The sequence below is a fragment of the Homo sapiens genome, chromosome 12, assembly GCF_000001405.40.
Source record: "Homo sapiens chromosome 12, GRCh38.p14 Primary Assembly".
Lineage (NCBI taxonomy): Eukaryota > Metazoa > Chordata > Mammalia > Primates > Hominidae > Homo > Homo sapiens.
Window position 1 is genome coordinate 32,137,518 of NC_000012.12, and position 18,890 is coordinate 32,156,407.

Genomic DNA, 18,890 nt, shown 5'->3' on the forward strand with positions numbered 1-18,890 from the left:
ACAAGGTAACGTGTTGTAGGGCATATGTTCTGAAGGAGCACTTGACCTTATCTTCTGACATCATGTAAAGATTTTGGCATTTAGTGTCATCATGTGCAACCATTGTTACTTTTTGCTACTGTATCATAATAATACTTAGTCGTATCAGTTTGATTAAATGCCTCCTTTGTATGGTTCCCAGCAGCATGGCTGTAGAAAGTATTCTCAAATTTATCAGGAGACCCAAGTTTTAATTCGGATTCCCTTTGTAAAAAGGCCTCCATTACTGGAGGCCAAATATAAAAACTTTTTTTTTTTTGAGACAGAGTCTCCTTCTGTCTCCTAGGCTGGAGTGCAGTGGCGCGATCTCAGTTCACTGCAACCTCCGCCTCCCAGGTTCAAGCGATTCTCCTGCCTCAGTCTCCCAAGTAGCTGGGATTACAGGCACGCATCACCATGCCTGGTTAATTTTTGGTGTTTTTAGTAGGGACAGGGTTTTGCTATGTTGGCCAAGCTGGTCTCGGACTCCTGAGCTTAGGCAATCCGCCTGCCTTGGCCTCCCAAAGTGCTGAGATTACAGGCGTGAGCCACCGTGCCTGGCCAAATATATAAAGTTTAAAAATAGCTCGCTTGTGTTCATTGCCTACCACATACTGGGTATTGTGCTAGATATTTAATATGCCAGATAGCATATGCCTCATTAGCCTATGAAGTAGAGGCTTTTATTATTATTTCCACTTACATAGATGAGAAAATTGCAGCACAGATAAATTAATTTGTCTAGCGATGGAACCAAAATCTCAGTCAGGCAGTGTGACTTCAAAGCTTGTATTGATAGAAGTTCTCCAAGTGCTTTAAATATATTAACTCATTCAGACTCACCAAGCTGTGCATTTTTAGTTTATAGAGTTGATATCAGTATTAAATAGGAATATGTATGTGTATGTATTTATATATGTATGCAGATGGTCCCTGACTTAACGATGGTTCATCTTAATGATTTTTTGACTTTATAATTATTTTTTGACTTTATAATTTTTTGACTTTATATAAACCATATTTTGGGTGCCCACACGTCTATTCTGTTTTTCACTTTCAGTACACCAGTCAACAAATTACATGAGCTATTCAACACTTTACTTTAAATAGGCTTTGTGTTAGGTGATTTTTGCCCAAATATAGGCTAATGTAAGTGTTTTGAGCATGTTTAAGGTAGGTGAGGCTAAGTAAGCTGTATTTGATAGGTTAGGCGTATTAAATGTATTTTTGACTTATGATATTTTTCAAACTATGATGGGTTTACTAGGACATAATCTCATCATCAGTTGAGGAGCATCTGTATATGTATGTGTTTAGATAGATATAATTAGATATCTATATATAATAGATTCTATGCTATGGGCATTGTAAGTTCTAAATTGCTTCAGTGGCATTATTGTACATTCTTACATAAGATTGAAGAATTTTGTGATTTTGATTAATTTATATCCTTCAAAGTGACCAGGAAGGTAGAGTTTGCATGCAGAAAATTTGCATGTATATTAATTCCATAAATAATGTTTGTAGTTAAATTTTCATTTTGTTTAAACATTTTTTACAAGATAGAGTTTACTCAGTGCTGTTATTTAGCAGCTGTGTGTATGACTTCATAATTTAGGGGGCTGTCTGTTTTGTGTTCTAAGCCACGTGGCTGCTGTGGTGACTGCTTTAGAAACTTTCAGTTCCCTTTGCTGTGAAACAGGTTTCAGTGCATCGTCCCTGTGTATAAGGTCAGGTTTCTTACATGGACTCACTCTGTTTCTGTAAATTTGTCTGAGAATTTTCAAGGCAGTGCTTTCATGGCCTCTCCTCTAATTTTGTGTGTGTGTGTTTGTGTGTGTCTGTGTGTGATGATGAAAAAGTCAAAAGCCCTAAAATTAAATCAGAGTTTAATCCATGTCCCTAAACTAGATAAGCTGCTTTAGACCTTTTCCTTATCCCTTACACGTCGCTCAGTAAATACTTGCTGATTGACTTTCAAATTCAGATTACTTTTACGCTAGCATACGGTGGGCACAAAGGGTTTTTTTGTTTATTTGTTTGTTTGAGACGGAGTCTCGCTCTGTCGCCAGGCTGGAGCGCAGTGGTGCAATCTCGGCTCACTGCAACCTCCTCTTCCTGGGTTCGAGCGATTCCTCGTGCCTTAGCCTCCCAAGTAGCTGGGACTACAGACAAGCGCCACCACGCCCAGCTGATTTTTGTATTTTTAGTAAAGACGGGGTTTCACCATGTTGGCCAGGATGCTCAAACCCCTGACCTCGCGATCCGCCCGCCTCGGCCTCCCAAAGCGCTGAGATTACAGGCGTGAGCCACCGCTCCTGGCCTGGGCACAGAGTTAAAAAAAAAATACTGGTAACAGAAAACTTGTTGGCGTGTTTCAGTTTTCAGAGTCTTCTATAAGGTCTTATACCAGCCGAGAAGCAGCAGAACCATCTGTCCGTGTACCGAGGACGGATCTCAGCAGCTCTCTGTTCAGTGGCTCCTGCCTTTGTAGTGGATTCCCTTGCTGTGCTGTAATTAAGTCAGCCGGCAGGAGTTCCTGTTTTGAGGGGGCCTCTCCCGGCTGGAGAAGTACCACTGCCTTTGTGTTACCTGCCATGTTATTGTGGAGTGGATAATTTTTTTTTCCTGCATGGGTCTTGGTTTAACAGCAGGATCCTCTGGGCTTCTTCCAAGAAGCACCACATTTCCCTGAAAATAAATGGCAGATGAATTATTTCTTGAGATTATGAAAATCTGTTAGATGAAAGCTTGCCTTTTTCTCATGTTCAAAACAATGCTAAATGCTTATAATTATACTCCCAATGAATTACTTCTTTCACTGGCTTCCTTTGCTCTGGCAAAGGTGGATTTTTTTTCCATGGCAGAGAAATTTTATAAAAAATGTAATATTTTAGAAAATGCCTAAATGTCAAGAATACAACATCTTGTTTGTTGTTGTTGTTGTTGTTTTGTTTGTTTTTTGATACGGAGTCTCGCTCTGTCGCCCAGGCTGGAGTGCAGTGGCGCAATCTCAGCTCAATGCAACCCCGCCTCCCGGGTTCAAGCAATTCGCTGCCTCAGCCTCCCGAGTAGCCTCCATTGAAGGAAGTGCCATAGTGTGGGAGGATCTTTTTATTTTCTACGCGCACCGTATTTGATTCTGTGTTTACAGGAACTGTGTCTGTAGACAAAAAGCAAAATGTTGGGGTTTAGTTTCTTCAGGTGAATAAAATGTTACTTGCATCTCCTCATTGTCACAGTGTTCGTATTACATACTTCGTGTGTGTAGTTTTGGCATTTAAGGAAACAGAGCTAAAAAAAAAACAAAGGACAATAACTGCATCAACAACATGTTATACACCAGAGGAAATGCGGCGACTTAGGTTCTGTGATGGGAAACCCGGATTTTTTTGTTGTACTTGAAATCTTCCGTAGAACGTACGTGTTTGCATGACCCAGAAAGGAAAACACATTGGAGGACTTTGTACTAGTTCCATTCTAATTCTGTAAAATTCTCACAAATTCAGGCATCTGTTAACCCTTCGAGGGCATATAAGTTCAGAGCCATGTTTTCTGTTTTGTGTCTTTCCCTTTGGCGGAGTGGTTACCTTTTCTGAGCCCTTGGCTTGCTTTCTGTGAACATAAGGCGCTCCATCTGCCGCTTTAAAGTGAAGATTTATAATTCAAACAAGACAGCGTTTCGATGTTGCACTCCTGTCTTATTAGATATCAACTTAAAGTTAAGAAAATGGAATTATTCAAGGCCTTGTTATCTAGTTTATAGCTTATTCAGAATTTATATTTCTGATTTTTTTTTGTCCTGATGACTGCCTGTGACTAATTTGTGTTTTTGTTATTAAGCTAAGATTGTATGAAAAATATGGCAAAAACAAAATTCTATATTTCTAATGCCCCATGAGAAATCTGATTTAGAGGCCCTTCCTTTGGACACACTTTTTGTTTTGTTTTGTTTTTGAGCGGAGTCTTGCTCTGTCGCCCAGGCTGGAGTGCAGTGGTGCAATCTCGGCTCACTGCACCCTCCACCTCCTGGGTTCAAGCGATTCTCCTGCCTCAGCCTCCCGAGTAGCTCGGAGTACAGGCGCCCGCCACTACGCCCAGCTAATTTTTCTATTTTTAGTAGAGGTGGGGTTTCACCATGTTGGCCAGGCTGGTCTCAAACCCCTAACCTTAAATGATCCATCCGCCTCAGCCTCCCAAAGTGCTGGGATTACAGGCGTGAGCCACCGCGCCTGGCCTGGACACCCATTTTGAATAGCACTTACCACAGATTCCCGAAGCCAGTGGTTTTCTAGCCTTTTTATTCGCCGTTCGTTGTAAGCTTCTTGAGTCTTGGTGATTCTTGTTTCATTTGTTTTTGTTTCTCCCCAGAGCCTAGCACATAGTAGGTGACGAACAAATGTTCATCGAATGTATGGGCTCAACCATAGTCTATTTTTTTCAAAAAGGTATAAATCTTATCAATGTTTTACATTTTGCTGAACAAAACAGGAGAGAGCGGATTCTTTTCAAATAGGAAAAATTAGGGAGGGAAAAGAGGGATTGACTGAAACTCTATTGAAGTATGTCAACATAAAAGTTTATTGACAGCCTGGCGTGATGGCTCAGGCCTGTAATCCCAGCACTTTAGGAGGCCAAGGTGGGCGGGTCACTAGAGGTCAGGAGTTCGAGACCAGCCTGGCCAACATGGTGAAACCCCGTCTCTATTAAAAATACAAAAATTAGCCAGGTGTGGTGGCAGGCGCCTGTACTCTGAGCTACTGGGGAGGCTGAGACAGGAGAATCGCTTGAACCTGGGAGGCAGAGGTTGCAGTGAGCTGAGATCGTGTCACCACACTTCCAGCCTGGGCAAAAGAGTGAGACTCTGTCTAAAAAAAAAAAAAAAAAAAAAAAAAACAAAAAACCCCACCTATCTATCCTATCTATCTATCTATCTATCTATCTATCTATCTATTGGTCTATCTATCTAGATAAAAATAGCAGTCAACTAATTTTTCAAATTAAAAATGCTTTATTGTTATTTATAGCATGATTGTTTTTCTATAAAAAAGGCATATTACAACAGCCTTCGCTTCACATCTGACTCTTGCAGCATTCTTATAAAGAGATCTCACACCATATTTGAGGGCTTCATTAGTTTTCTAAGCCTTAAAAAAATTTCATCATTAAGATTATTCTCTCATGAAGCACCCAAAATATAGACAGCTTTTCTTATTTTCTTTTCTTCAATTGTTGACAGTCTAATGCTGCCAGATCTTTATCTGTCAGGGACTTTTGATGTTGTTGGAGCCATCTCTTGTGGACTTTATGAAATCTTGCATGCAGCACAATTTGAAACTTCATTGTGCATTCAATTTGCATTGCCTTTGCTGTGTTCACAGTGGCACTCCATGAGGCTTAACTATGGAGATCCTGGTGCTACAAGCCGTTAAATAGTTCTCTCTTCTCAACCTATTCCCCTATCCTGCTTTTCTTTTCTTCATAGCACTTATTACCTCCTGATTATATTTTTTGTTTGCCTTTTGTCTATCACCTGTCATTCTTTTACCAGACCATCTAGTCTCATATGTCTATATAACCTTTCTGAAAAACATCCTGTGGGAAATATACCATATATACAGAAAAAGTGCACAAACATGAATATACAGTTTAACAAATAATATAAACCTGCTATTCATGTAGCCACCACCCAGATGAAGGAAATAGAATATCATAAGCACCGCACAATCTCCATTTGTGCCCTTCTCCATCGTAGCTTTCTCTGTCCCAGACAACCATTGTCCACAACTTGTTGTAATAATTTACTTAATTTTCTTTTATAGTTTTATCACACATAATTTAGTTTTTGTCTGCTTTTTGAACTTTACATGAATGGAATAATATTGCATATATTATTTAATGCTTTTTCTTTCATTTAACATTTTTTTTTGTGTGTGTGTGAGATTCTCCAGGTTGTTGTACACAGTGCTAGTTATTTCATTTTGTTATGGTATAGTATCCCATTGTATGATTGTACCACAGTTTATCCATTTTTTAGTTGATGGGTTTTGACTTGCTTTCATTGTTTGGGCTATTATGAATAGTGCTGCTCTGCACCTGTTGTACATATAGCCTGGTGAACATGTTTGCGAATTTCTATGAGCGTGATCACGGTGGTGTAGAATTGCCAATCTTCAACCTGCCTGTATTTTCCAAAGCGATCATACCAATTTATTTACCTTCCAGCAGTGTATGAGAATTCTCTATTCTCACCATCATTGGATATTGTCAGATTTTAACATTTGGCTCAACTGATGGGTGTATAATGGTATCCTATGGTACTTATAATTTGCATTATCCCTAGTTACTAATAAGCTTGAGCAATTTTTCATATTTTTATTTCGATTTCCTAATTTATGAAATGCCTGTTTAAGTCTTCAGCCATTTCAAATGTTACCTGTCTTTTCAAAATGATCTATAGGAGTTCTTTGTATAATATATATTCTGGCCCCTAGTCCTTTATTCTTTGTATGTGTTGCAAATATCTTCATCTCTGCAGTTTACTCTTTTTGTGGTGTCCTTTGATAAAATTCTCAATTTGGTGAATGTAATTGAATTTATTAATTTTTCTCTTTGTTATGTATTTTTGTGTCTTTAAGAAATTTTTCCCTATGTAGGGAAGAAGGACAAAAATTGTCTTTCATAATTAGTTCTTTAACCCTTCATAACTTTGAGTATATAAATTATTGTGACCATCTTTGAATCTACAGTAGTTGAATTGCATATATAGAGGCTTGAGTTCTTAAATTATTCTTTCCAGGGTGAATATTAGCATATCACAATAGGACAGTAGGGACAGTGGCTTTTTCGCTAATGAAATCTAAGATTTTTCCTTTTCTGCTCATGAAAAATGTTTCTGCTTAAATTGTAATGAGTGTACAAGAGGCATAAATCCACAGTGGGTACAAATGTCAAAGATTATGGTTTAAACCAGCAAAATATGTCTTCTTAGATATACGAAACATTTTGTCAAATAGCCCCTGGCATCATCTGGGCTAAATGAAGAATCACCAGGACATGTGATACAGTGAAACTATTCCACTTATAGTAACAGCACTTAGTAATTGCTTTCATTAATCCAGGCAGGTTAATATTCTATCTACTTGCATAACAATGTCAAAAAATCTATTATCTACTGAAACCTTTTATATAGCAAGTTAAGCTCCTATTTCTTTCATAAAGATTGAGATTCAAATATTAATCCAAACTACTCAGAATCACTTTCTCTTCCTCACTTTTCTGATACCCCCACTGGAGAGTGACTGATCAGTGCATTATCTGTCACCTCAGAGCTCAGAGTGCCCCTCTTTTCTATTCAAATACAAAGCCATTCATTTACTTTGATGGACAAATAGCCGTGGCATTAGTATGGGTAGGGGCAAGTGCTGTTGTCTCTTATCTAGGAAGGAGTTGGTTCTTTTCTGATGGTTGAATAATATACTTAGGTATAGAAAGAGACCTGAGTGTCTTGAAAGCAACATTCTTTCATTTTTGTCAATGTTTTAATCAGCACCCCTGTGCATATATTATCTTTGCATATTTCAGCACTTTGTATTAGACTTCTACATGTTGTGGTCTTTGCTTCTGATAAGGGACAGAATAAATAGGAAGAAAGAATAAAAAAGCCATAATGTTAAGTACATCCATTCCATGCCCATAGCCATACATCACAGAAGTCACAGGGAAGGCTCTGTGACACGAGATAATGATGTGGATGTGACAGAACATGGTAGAGGAAAAGGCCACAGACAGGTGCAGAGTAGGAAGAATGAAAGAATTCATTGTGGCTGTCAAAATCCTATGTTTGTGTTCCCAAATCCTATTTCTTTTTTCTTTTGACTTGTGATGTATTGACTGTCAATTAGTTATCAGGTACTATGTTCAGCCCAGTTATTGCACAAGAGATCCTGAAAATCTTTAAGTAGCTCCTGGACTTGGAAGAGGGAAGGAAGGAGGAGACACTAAAATAATTACAATATGTTACTATTATACATGACAATATGCAGAATGCATTTGGAACATAGCCAATAACTTTACACAGAGATAGCAGTTTTTGAGCTGAATTTTAGAGGACCAAGTTGATAGAATTTGATGATCAGATGAGGGGTTAGGGAGAGGAAGTCTTTCAGTTTATTTTAAGGCTGGAGTGAATATTATTTTTGTAAATGCAGGATTTTAAGGAAAAGGACAAAATGCCAGAAGACAGCAGATTTCTATTTTCTGTATATTTGTACATCATGACAATACATTTATAGATACACTAATTCTTGTACATAAATAATTCATATAATGTTTGTCTTTATCAGTCTGAATTGTCAGCTTTGGTCATAGGGAATTGGAACCAAGTGTTTACTGAGCATCTACTATATGTGAGGCACTATATTAGGTGCTGGGCATGCAGTGATGAGCAAAACAGGGATGGGTCCAGCTCTTATAGAACTTAGAGTTGAGTGGGAAAAACAGAATTAATCAAATTTCCATATTTATAATTAGAAATGACATATACATATGAACAAAGGCTCTCTCAGAACCCAATTATTCTTCCCTTTCACTCTTCTTCCTAATCATACTACCAGCGTTAAGTTGACAGTTATTTATCAGGCATATTTAGCAGCCAGCCTTACAGTTTTCTCTTGCACACTGTTAACAATTACTGTCACATGGTCACTGTTACATGTTAGCCAATAGTGCCTCACATTCACTGTGGCTTCCAAAGCTTGGGCTTGGGGAAGCAGGTGGATGGTGATATCATGAGCTCAGATAGAGATCATGGGAGAAGAGATTTGAGATGTTTTAAAAAAGTGTTTTGAGCAGATGAAGTTAAAGAGTTAAAGGGAACTATGGTCAAGTGGAGGTGCTGGTAGGCAGGTGGAAATATACTTCTGAATCTCAGGATGACTAATGAAAAGCAAGAAAATGAACAACAAGGGACTATTAATGTGTGTTATGCTGTGCTTATGCATTTTGTCTGGTTTCAAATCATTGTATTTAAGTAGTTCTTAAAGTCACAGGAGTGAATGAGATTAAGTAGAGGAAGAAGGAAAAGAGGTACAGATGGAGACCTAGGGAGTGCCAGGCCTCAGAGCAGACAGAGGAAGGGCACGCAGTGACAGAGCCCACGAAGTGTGGCCAGAGAGCAGTGATGAGGAGGATTACCGAGTGGCTCATGGAAACCAGCGTGGAAGCTTTCTTATTTCTTCTTCTCCTTCTGCTTCTCTTTCTCCCTTCCTCCTTTCCTCCCTCCCTCCCTCCCTCCCTCCCTTCCTTCCTTCCTTCTCCTCCTCCTTCTCCTTCCTCTTCTTCTTCCTCCTCCTCCTCTTCTTCTTCTTTCTCTTCTTCTTCCTTCTTCCTCCTTCCTCCTCCTTCTTCTTCCTTTTTCTTTTTTGAGACAGTCTTGCTCTGTCACCCAGGCTGGAATGTAGTGGTATGATCATAGCTCACTGCAGCCTCGACCTCCCCAGGCTTAGGTGATCCTCTCACCTTAGCCTCCCGAGGAGCTAAGACCATAGGTGTGAGCCACCATGCCCAGCTAATGTTTTAATTTTTGTAGACATGGGACCTCCCTATGTTGCCCAGGCTAATCTTGAACTCAAGTGATCCTCCTGCCTCAGCTTCCCAAAGTGCTGGGATTACATATATGAGCCACTGTGCCCGGCTGTGGGAAGCTTTCAAGAACAAGAGAGACCAATGTTGCCAGACAGGCCAAGTAATATTAGGACTGGAAAGCAGCTAGATTGAGAGACTCACAGGAACAAGAACAGAGAATTCTGAATTCTAAAATCCACAACGCTCATTTCACTGAAAGGTCGTTCAGGTGGCGGTGGTGGATTTTTTTCCCTTAGCCGTCATTTTGGATATTTGATTAATTATCGACCATTATATTTCCTTCTTCTTGTTAGTTACGATTTACTAAGAAGAATTTTTATGCTATTTTAAAGTTAAATGATCTGTGATTGTAAAATCATTCATTATTTACCTCAACTGCTCACTTAATTTTTTAAAAACATCTTCAAGGCTCCTTCAGAGTTTTTATGTTGATAATTTTAAAAAATCTTTTTCAAGTTTTCTAGAAACATGAATAAGTACACAATAATTTAGTTAATGTGGGCAGTAAATACACAGTTGTGATAGTGAAATGTCTTCTATGAACTAGAAAATAAGAAAATAGACACTTAAAGTTCAGAGTAGAGAAGGAAACTCAAAGAGACAGAATGGTTCCAGGGCAGCCTAACTGTACAGTACCCTTAAGAAAAGTATTCGTATCTATATCTCTACTGCAGTAGGCCAAGTGCTGTGGCACACGCCTAAAATTGTAGCACTTTGGGAGGCTGAAGTGGGAGGACTGCTTGAGCCTAGGTGTTTGAGGCCAGCCCTAGCAATATAGGGAGACCCCCCATCTCTACAAAAAATAAGAAAAATTAGTCAGATGTGGTGGTGCACACCTGTGGTCCCAGCTGCTTGGGAGGCTGAGGTGGGAGGATCACTTGAGTCTGGGAGGTTGAGGCTACAGTGAGCCGTGATGACACCATCACACTCTAGCCTGGGTGACAGAGCGAGACTCCGTCTCCAAAAAAAAAAGAATCTGAGAAGCAGATACTGGCCATATTCACTGAGGTGCTAAGCAGGGGTGGGCACCCTGCCTGGCTCTGTAGTGGTCATTTCTGACAGGCCTGTGTTGTGGAGACAGACACACTAGGTTTTCAGAGTCTGATGCAGTTACATTCGAATTAGGCAAATCTCATACTGATTCTGATTCCATGTTCCCCGCAACAGGCACCCGGTAAACTGGCTTTCTGGAGAGTCTGCCTTTGAGCAGAGAATGTGATTTTCCCACTGTCCTTCTCTGACCTCTCGGCAGTTATACAATTCTTATTGTAAAATAAAGCTCTATTCTGGTTTTGTGCATCAGTCTCCTGTGGGTTTAATTCACATGCAAGAGCGTCCTCGAGCCTGAATGAGCCTGGAATGGAATACAGTTTCCCAGCCCATGAATCATGACCTGAATCATGTCAAATTCACCAAGTTATGCTCCCTTTTAAGGTCACTTGGCAGACAGGCAGGTAGGAACTTTCCTGGTGAACCCTCCCTGTATGACCATGCAGCTTTCCACTGGGAACTTTTACAGGTTGCTGCTATTTTTATAAAAATGATAGACTGTAATGTTGCCGGGGACAGTGGCTCATGCCTGTAATCCCAGCAGTTTAGGAGGCTGAGGTGGGAGAAACACTTGAGGTCAGGAGTTTCAGACCAGCCTAGGCAACATGGTGAAACCCTGTCTCTACTAAAAATACAAAAATTAGCTGGACATGGTGGTGCACACCTGTATTCCCAGCTCCTCAGGAGGATAAGGCACGAGAATCACTTGAACCCGGGAGGTAGAGGTTACAGTGAGCCGAGATCACGTCACTGTACTCCACCCTGGGTGACGAAGTGAGGCTCTGTCTCCAAAAAAAAAAAAGAGTTCTGTAATTGTAAAAATGTGACATAGGCATTCTCTAATGTGCAATGAATAGTCATTTTTAAGCATTTCATACATTGTTCCTGTACTGCACTGGGTCTCCTTGTGCTGAACTGCATGGGATAGGCCATTTCCATACAATCTCATCCTCTGAATAAGGAACCATGATGCTCCTAAAGACATACTAAATATAGATCTTGGGTAATATTGGAGTCAGTGCTGGTCATCAATGATTTTCTCTGTGATGATAGAGGGGGTCCACTATGAATGATAGCATTAATTTTGCTGTATGTTCTTGCATCATTGGTACATAATAATTCATAGACTTCATAAGTTATTAATATACAAGTTACAGAATTTAATAATGTAACCCACCTTTGATATGTTTTCATATACATTATGGGGAAACCATATTTTTTTGAAGTCAAGAAATGTATATTGCTTCATGTTGCAAAATTTGTATGCTATGTCAAAGAAGCATTGCCAGAAAATGATCTGAAATGTAGAACAATAAAGTTACATTATAGATGTCTTAGGTGAACCAAGAGAAAAATTAGTGTCAGAGTTAAAAAGATGCAAGTCAGGAATTAAGGCAAAACATTGACCCTATCTGACTTAGGAGAATTCTGGTCATGTGATCTTAAGAAGAGAGAGTAACTGACAGTTCTGGAGACTGGGAAGTCCAAATCAAGGCATCAGCAGATTCAGTGTCTGGTGGGAGCTTGCTGTCTGCTTCACAGATGGTGCCTTCTTATGGCATCCTCACATGGTGAAAGGGAACAAACAGCCTCCCTCAAGCCTTTTTTGTAAGGGCACTAATCCCATTCATGAAGGCAGAGCACCTACTTGTAATACTATCGTATTCGTTCGTTCTCATGCTGCTAATAAAGACATACCCACGACTGGGTAATTTATTTAATGGACTTGCAGTTCCAGGTGGCTGCGGAGGCCTCACAGTCATGGCAGAAGGTGAAGGAAGACCAAAGGTACATCTTACATGGCAGCAGGCAAGAGGGTGTGTGCAGGAGAACTCCCCTTTATAAAACCATCAGATCTCATGAGACTTACTCACTATCATGAGAATGGCATGGGAAAGACCTGTCCCCATGATTCAATTACCTTCCACCGGGTCCCTCCTACAACACATGGGAATTATGGGAGCTACAATTCAAGATGAGATTTGGGTGGGGACACAGCCAAACTGTATCAACTATCATACCTCTTAATACTATCACATTGGATTTTAGGTTCCAACATACAAATTTTGGGAGGACATGAACATCTGGACAGTAGCAATGCTAGTCCATTATTCTGGTCTGTCTGAAGGTTTTATCTAGGCAGGGAAAAGCGTATGTTTTTTCCTTGACCTTGAAAATTTAGCTTGGGCTTTCTTTGTACAAACATGAAGATCCTAGGAGAAGCCCAATCAATTTTAGAGAGACAAGTGGATGAAGATAGGGATTAAAAGAATTGTGCTTGACTGAGCAGAGAGACTGATGATCTGAAAGGACACCAGGTAAAATGTTTCTTTTTAGCTTTACAAATGCACTGCTTGTTAACATCTATGAATTCATGTACTTGCTTTTCCATGCTATAGACGGGTAACTTCCAGGGCTGCTGTGTGGCACAAGTTTGGGGAGTAGGGATGGAAATGGTACCCTTAAAGTTATGCAGTGCAGACCTGCACAACCTGACACAGGGGCCTTGGGTCAGTCCATGTCGGTGAGTGTATGATACTCTGATATCTTAAAAAAAAATAACATAAGAATCTGTAGGCTCTTGTTCAAAGATATTGCAGAGACAAGAACCCCTTCCACAGGTAAAGAAGGCACGTGAGACTCATGGCAAATTCATTGACTCTTCTGTCCGAGCATTTTCTTGTCATTTTCATTATAGCCCTTCCTTGTAATCTTAACATCAATGGTACCCTGCTTCTTAGCAATTTTGATAAATCTTTGTATTTCAGCAAATACTTGAAAAAAATGTAGGATCCACTGGCTTATATCTTCTGTGTAGGCATCAAAACAGATGGTGGTGGGGTTGTTGGGAAGATGGTAGCAGACAGGGTTGCTTAAAAATATAAGACTTCCTTGATGTCCAAGAATACTGAGATTTATATGATTAGAAATTTCTATACAAAGCTGGAAACAGTGGAGCATGTTCCCACATAGAAGCACAGGTTCCCAGCTCCCCCAGAGGCCCTCATACAGAGCTGCAGCTGCCTGTGATGGAGCCTGCACAGATTCTTCCAGTAGACAGTCACTTTCCTTCTTTCTTGGCAGTCTTGTGCCCTGACAGCCCTTCTGATGGCTCTGGAGCCTCTGGCTGCCTGCCTTCCTACTCACCAGGTGCAACTTGTTAATTACTTGCATGCAATATGATCACTGGATTATGGTACAGCTTTGGCTAAATCACTTACATTTTTCATTCTTATTAATTTGGAGACATGCACGTGCCAACCCAAGTACAATAAATGGCACACTGTTTATTGCAAGCACTAAATAGATACATCGAAGGTTATGTTCTCAGGCATCCCTAGCTTATAAGTGTACATTATGTTGATTTGATATTGGGTGATGACCAAACACAGTTGGTCAAATCCTCCCTCTGGGAGTTGGAGAGACATAGAAGGAAAGGAACAGAAATGCCAGTGGTGATAACAGGGACAGCAGAAGGAAGAGGAGCAGGGACTGAAAGCCACTGAGTCAGAGTACACTGAGGCATATGAGCAATACCTGAGTGGAATCTGTGGTTGCAGGGCATCCCTACCTCTGCCTGCACATCTGCTTCTTTCTTCCCTACCCCCAGTTTCCCTTTTTCTCCTTCCCTGTGGCCATAGTGGAAGATGGAGGCTTCACAGTTCCTGAGACTAGATGTCTTCAGTTCAAGCAGTCAGCAGAGACTTGTTTTTTTGTTGTTGTTGTTTTTTGTTTTTGTTTTTTGAGACAGAGTCTCGCTGTGTCTCCCAGGCTGGAGTGTAGTGGCGCGTTCTCAGCTCACTGCAACCTCTGCCTCCCGGGTTCACGTGATTCTCCTGCCTCAGACTCCTGAGTAGCTGGGACTACAGGCACACGCTACCATGCCTGGCCAATTTTTGTATTTTTAGTAGAGATGGGGTTTCGCCATGTTGCCCAGGCTGGTCTTGAACTCCTGACCTCAGGTGATCCACCTGCCTTGGCCTCCCAAAGTGCTGGGATTACAGGCAGAGACTAGTTTTTTTTAACTTTTTTTTTTTTTTAACAGTCTTGCTCTGTCACATAGGCTGGTGTGCCATGGCATGATCATAGCTCACTTTAACCTTGAACTCCTGGGCTCAAGTGATCCTCCCGTCTTAGCCTCCCAAGTACCTAGGGCTACAGGTGCATGCCACCATGCTCAGCTAATTTTCTTGCCATGATGCTGAGGCTAGTCTTGAACTCCTGGCCTCAAGTGATCCTCCTGCCTCAGCTTCCCAAAGTGTTGGGATTACAGGCGTGAGCCAATGCACCTGGCTGAGGCTGGTATTTTCAAATTTCAATTCTAGCTGTCAGGGAGAGAGAAATTGATTGGCCCACCAGGGACCAGGTGTTTGCTTCTGGTCCATTCTTCTATAACCAGGGAGACATTTATATATATAAACTTGGCTGCTGAGGCCCAACCCTCAAAACATAGAGATTTGAGCAACATTAGAATAAATTCTTTTATTTATGGAATTATTTCTATAGGCATATGTCATAACCTTTTATTTTCTTTTTAAGAAATCAAGTCTACTTAATATGATAATAATATAGTCAAAGAAGTACACAGCCACGTATGGCTGGATTTGATTTCTTATCCAATAGCTGGATCTGAGAAAAGGTTGTTCAGTTACATTCCAGAAGCTTCAGTAGCAAAACTGCTCTTTTTTCCCCCAACTTTTACTTTATATTCAGAGGGTACATGTGCAGGTTTTTTACTGAGGTATATCGTGTCATGCTGAGGTTTTGGGTATGAATGGTCCCATCACCCAGACACTGAGCATAGTATACAGTAGTTTTTCAACCCTTGCTCTCCTCTCTCCCTCTCACCTCTAGGCATCCCTAGTGCCTAGTATTGCCATCTTTATGTCCATAAGTACCTGATGTGTAGCTCTCATTTGTAAGTGAGAACATACGGTATTTGTTTTTCTTTTCCTGCATTTCTTTGCTTAGAATAATGGCCTCCAGCTGCATCTATGTTGCTGCAAAGGACATGATTTTGATTTTTTATGGCTGCATAGAATTCCATGGTGTTTATATACCACATTTTCTTTATCCAAGCCACTGTTGATGGGAACCTAAATTGATTCTGTGTCTTTGCTATTGTGAATAGTGCTGCGATAAACATGTGAGTGCCCTTGTCTTTTTGGTATTAATAGAGTGGTTTGTTTTCTTACGGATATATACCTGAAACTATTCTTGTTAAGTGAGTCAACAAGGCCCACCTGGCAGAAGAGGAAACCCAAGAACATTAAATCAGTTAAGATGGAGGCCAAGGCGGGTGGATCACTGGAGCTCACGAATTCAAGACCAGCTTGGGCAACATGGCGAAAGTTCATCTCTACAAAAAATACAAAACTAGCCAGGCATGATGGCGTGCACCTGTAGTCACAGCTACTCAGGAGGCTGAGGTGGGAGGCTGGCTTGGGTCTGGGAGGCAGAGGTTGCAGTGAGCCAAGATTGTGCCTCTGCACTCCAGCCTGGGTGATAGAGCCAGACTTTGTATATATATGTGTGTGTACATATATATATATGTGTGTGTGTGTGTGTATATATGTAATACATATATATTACATATCTAATATATATAATATATATGTAATAAACATCATGTATATATGATGTTTATTAGCCCTCCAATGCTTGAAATCAGGGGTTGGAATCAAGGCTAACCAACTCTGGTCTGGTCACCATCACTGAATGCTTGCGGTAGCCATGTGAACATTGTTTATTGTCGTATACTCCTGGGAGAGTCCCAGGGATGAGCTTTTATAAAGTTGCAGACGGGAAAGGGACTCTCACTTTGGAGAGAATTAAGCATGTCACCCAGTTGCCTAACAAGTTATTGCTGTGCAGGCAAAAAACAGACAAAAGACTCACCCAACTCTAAGATTTTTTTGATGGACTTCTCTAAGTTCATTATGATAAAGTTAATATTATGATTTTTCCAGTTCTCAATATTTTGGGTCTAACCCTTTTTTTATTACTTTATGTATATGTTCTGGGCTCCGTAGACTCTCTGGAGTGACAAGAAAATCTTGAAAAATAAAAGGCGAGGTCTATTGGAGAGCTGTTCGTGGATGATTCTGATACGTGCTCTTGGTTAAGAATCACTGCTCTGGTTTTCTTCCCAGTGCCTCTTACCCACCACTGTTAGATCAGTTCTTTAAACACCACTTAAACTCCCACTTTTGTCAGCAACCTCCTCTTGACAGTCAAGCTCCTTAGTCTGGCATGTAGCACTCACCATTACTTGGTGTGAGTCCTGAATTCTGAGCAGCCAGTGTCTCCTTATCTGTCACATTCGTACTCATTTTTATGACTTTGCAGGTCTTGCTGAAAATTCTTCCTTAACTTGCCTTGAGAACCACCTTTTCCACCAAGCATTCCCAATGAATGTAGCTCGTGGTGTTCTTTCCTTCCAAATTCCTGTTCTCTTATCTCTACTGCTTATAACCCAATACTTGACTATATATTGTCTTGTATAAATGAAGTCTTTTCTATCAAAGTAGATGTTCATTTTCTTAGGAGGAGGAATGTCTTTGGTATCCTGTACAAAATCTAGCATAGCCTGGTACTCAAAGTCACCTTAATCATACACTAAATGGTATCTTTATTGATGGGTTGTCGATAAACCTCCTGCTTTATCCTGTATCCAATTAAAATGATCCCTCGTCAGTTTTTCCTCTGATTCAAACATTTTACCCCACATTGTTTCTGCAATTAGACAGAAAAATAAGCATCTGTGAAGTCAACCTTTTTGCTTTTTTTACTCTGAAGTGCTGCTTTTTTTTTTCAGTAAGTTGTGGTTTTAAAAAAATCCAGTTATTTGAATGACATTTATTATTTTTGCAGTTAATAAATGTATTTTAAGTTTTTAAATCCACAGTGTAGATAAGGCCCTAGAAGCAAGTGTAGACTTCGTCCACAGCTGTACTCCATCGGCCACTGACAGTCTTATTGCATTATTTCAACGGCACAAGCAATCATTTACACTTGTTATTACCCAGGGGCATTTCAAACTGTTACTGAAATGCATCCATCCCTGGAGTAACCATCTGTGAATGGTAATGCCATAAGGTAGAGAGACTAAATCTAATTGATATGCAAAAAGGAGAATTTCAGCTGTCCAGCTATGGAGATTCAAATTGAACCTTTAATAGGCTGAGGATTTCAGCTAAATTTTTAAAATCATGATATCTAGTTCAGGCACTCATCTTTTAGGTTTCTCACAGATTAAAGTACAGCCGTCTTCCTTGAAGTAAGAACATCTCAAAGTCAAAAATACTTGTTTATTGTAAAACAAAATGCTACAGAGAAAGGAAAGTTCTTGTAAAATACAAAGAGATCGCTTTTGTTGCTATATAATAGCAAAGCAGCTGCACCTTTCCTTGGTTTTTACACTTGTTTGTGCCTCAAATTGCCTGAAAGAAAAAAAGGGAAAATAAGAAAATGCTTTCAGATTTCAGTTGCATTAAAACATAAAAAAAATTGGGAGCAACATTTGTTAAGATATTAAGATATAGTCATTTACATTAAGTGGTTTTATAAAAGTGATTTATAATCTTTTAAAGTTATCTCCCCCTTTCTTATGACACGTAACCCTAAAAGAGCCATTTAAATTAGCTGTCAGGCAAGATGTACCAGGCCTTTCCAGTGATCCCAGCCCACCTGGACATATCTAGCAATTCTGCAGACCAGCACATACTTCTGGAAAGATGTTGCATGGTGATTTATAGATCTGTGTGGACACATAACACCTTTACAATGGAGTGAGGTCTTGAAATAGCCCTGCTGTTGCTGCCCATTGAGAGATAAGTATTCTCCTGAGGTATTCCCCAACAGCTGGAAATGAAGTAGCAGCTCTTGTCAGTCTGTGACAGGAGTGGATTATCAGACATTTGTAAAGAGACAACAGCAGAATCAGGCCTTTTTGCAATAAAATTGCACACATAGATATTATTGCTCCTCCAGCGTTTCATATGCAGTGTCAAGGCACGCTACAGTTCAGGCAGCAGGCAAGCAGCTCTGTTTGAATGGTGGGACAAACATACCTCTGTGTGTGAGGTGCCTGCACTTGCCCTGCTTTGTCAGGGAGGACACAATGCCACTTTCTCTGCTCCTCAGCATAGCTCAATTCCAGCTCCCGGGATGAATTA

General features: G+C 40.2%; 1 protein-coding gene across 34 annotated transcripts in view, besides 3 other annotated features; it reads left to right on the forward strand.

The window, feature by feature from the left end:
- Positions 1–18,890, forward strand: part of BICD1 (BICD cargo adaptor 1) — a 276,787-nt gene that overhangs the window by 30,671 nt on the left and 227,226 nt on the right. The gene's annotated exons all lie outside the window — the stretch shown is intronic.
- Positions 2,429–2,478: an enhancer, noted in NCBI's record as "active region_6184". NCBI's record gives its function as "activates an Ori minimal core promoter by ATAC-STARR-seq in GM12878 lymphoblastoid cells {active_cell/tissue: GM12878}" and the evidence as "EXISTENCE:reporter gene assay evidence [ECO:0000049][PMID:35858748]".
- Positions 9,190–9,259: an enhancer, noted in NCBI's record as "active region_6185". NCBI's record gives its function as "activates an Ori minimal core promoter by ATAC-STARR-seq in GM12878 lymphoblastoid cells {active_cell/tissue: GM12878}" and the evidence as "EXISTENCE:reporter gene assay evidence [ECO:0000049][PMID:35858748]".
- Positions 18,277–18,778: an enhancer, noted in NCBI's record as "NANOG hESC enhancer chr12:32308728-32309229 (GRCh37/hg19 assembly coordinates)". NCBI's record gives its function as "activates a minimal SCP1, AML or CMV promoter by ChIP-STARR-seq in naive H9 embryonic stem cells {active_cell/tissue: H9 hESC(naive)}" and the evidence as "EXISTENCE:reporter gene assay evidence [ECO:0000049][PMID:30033119]".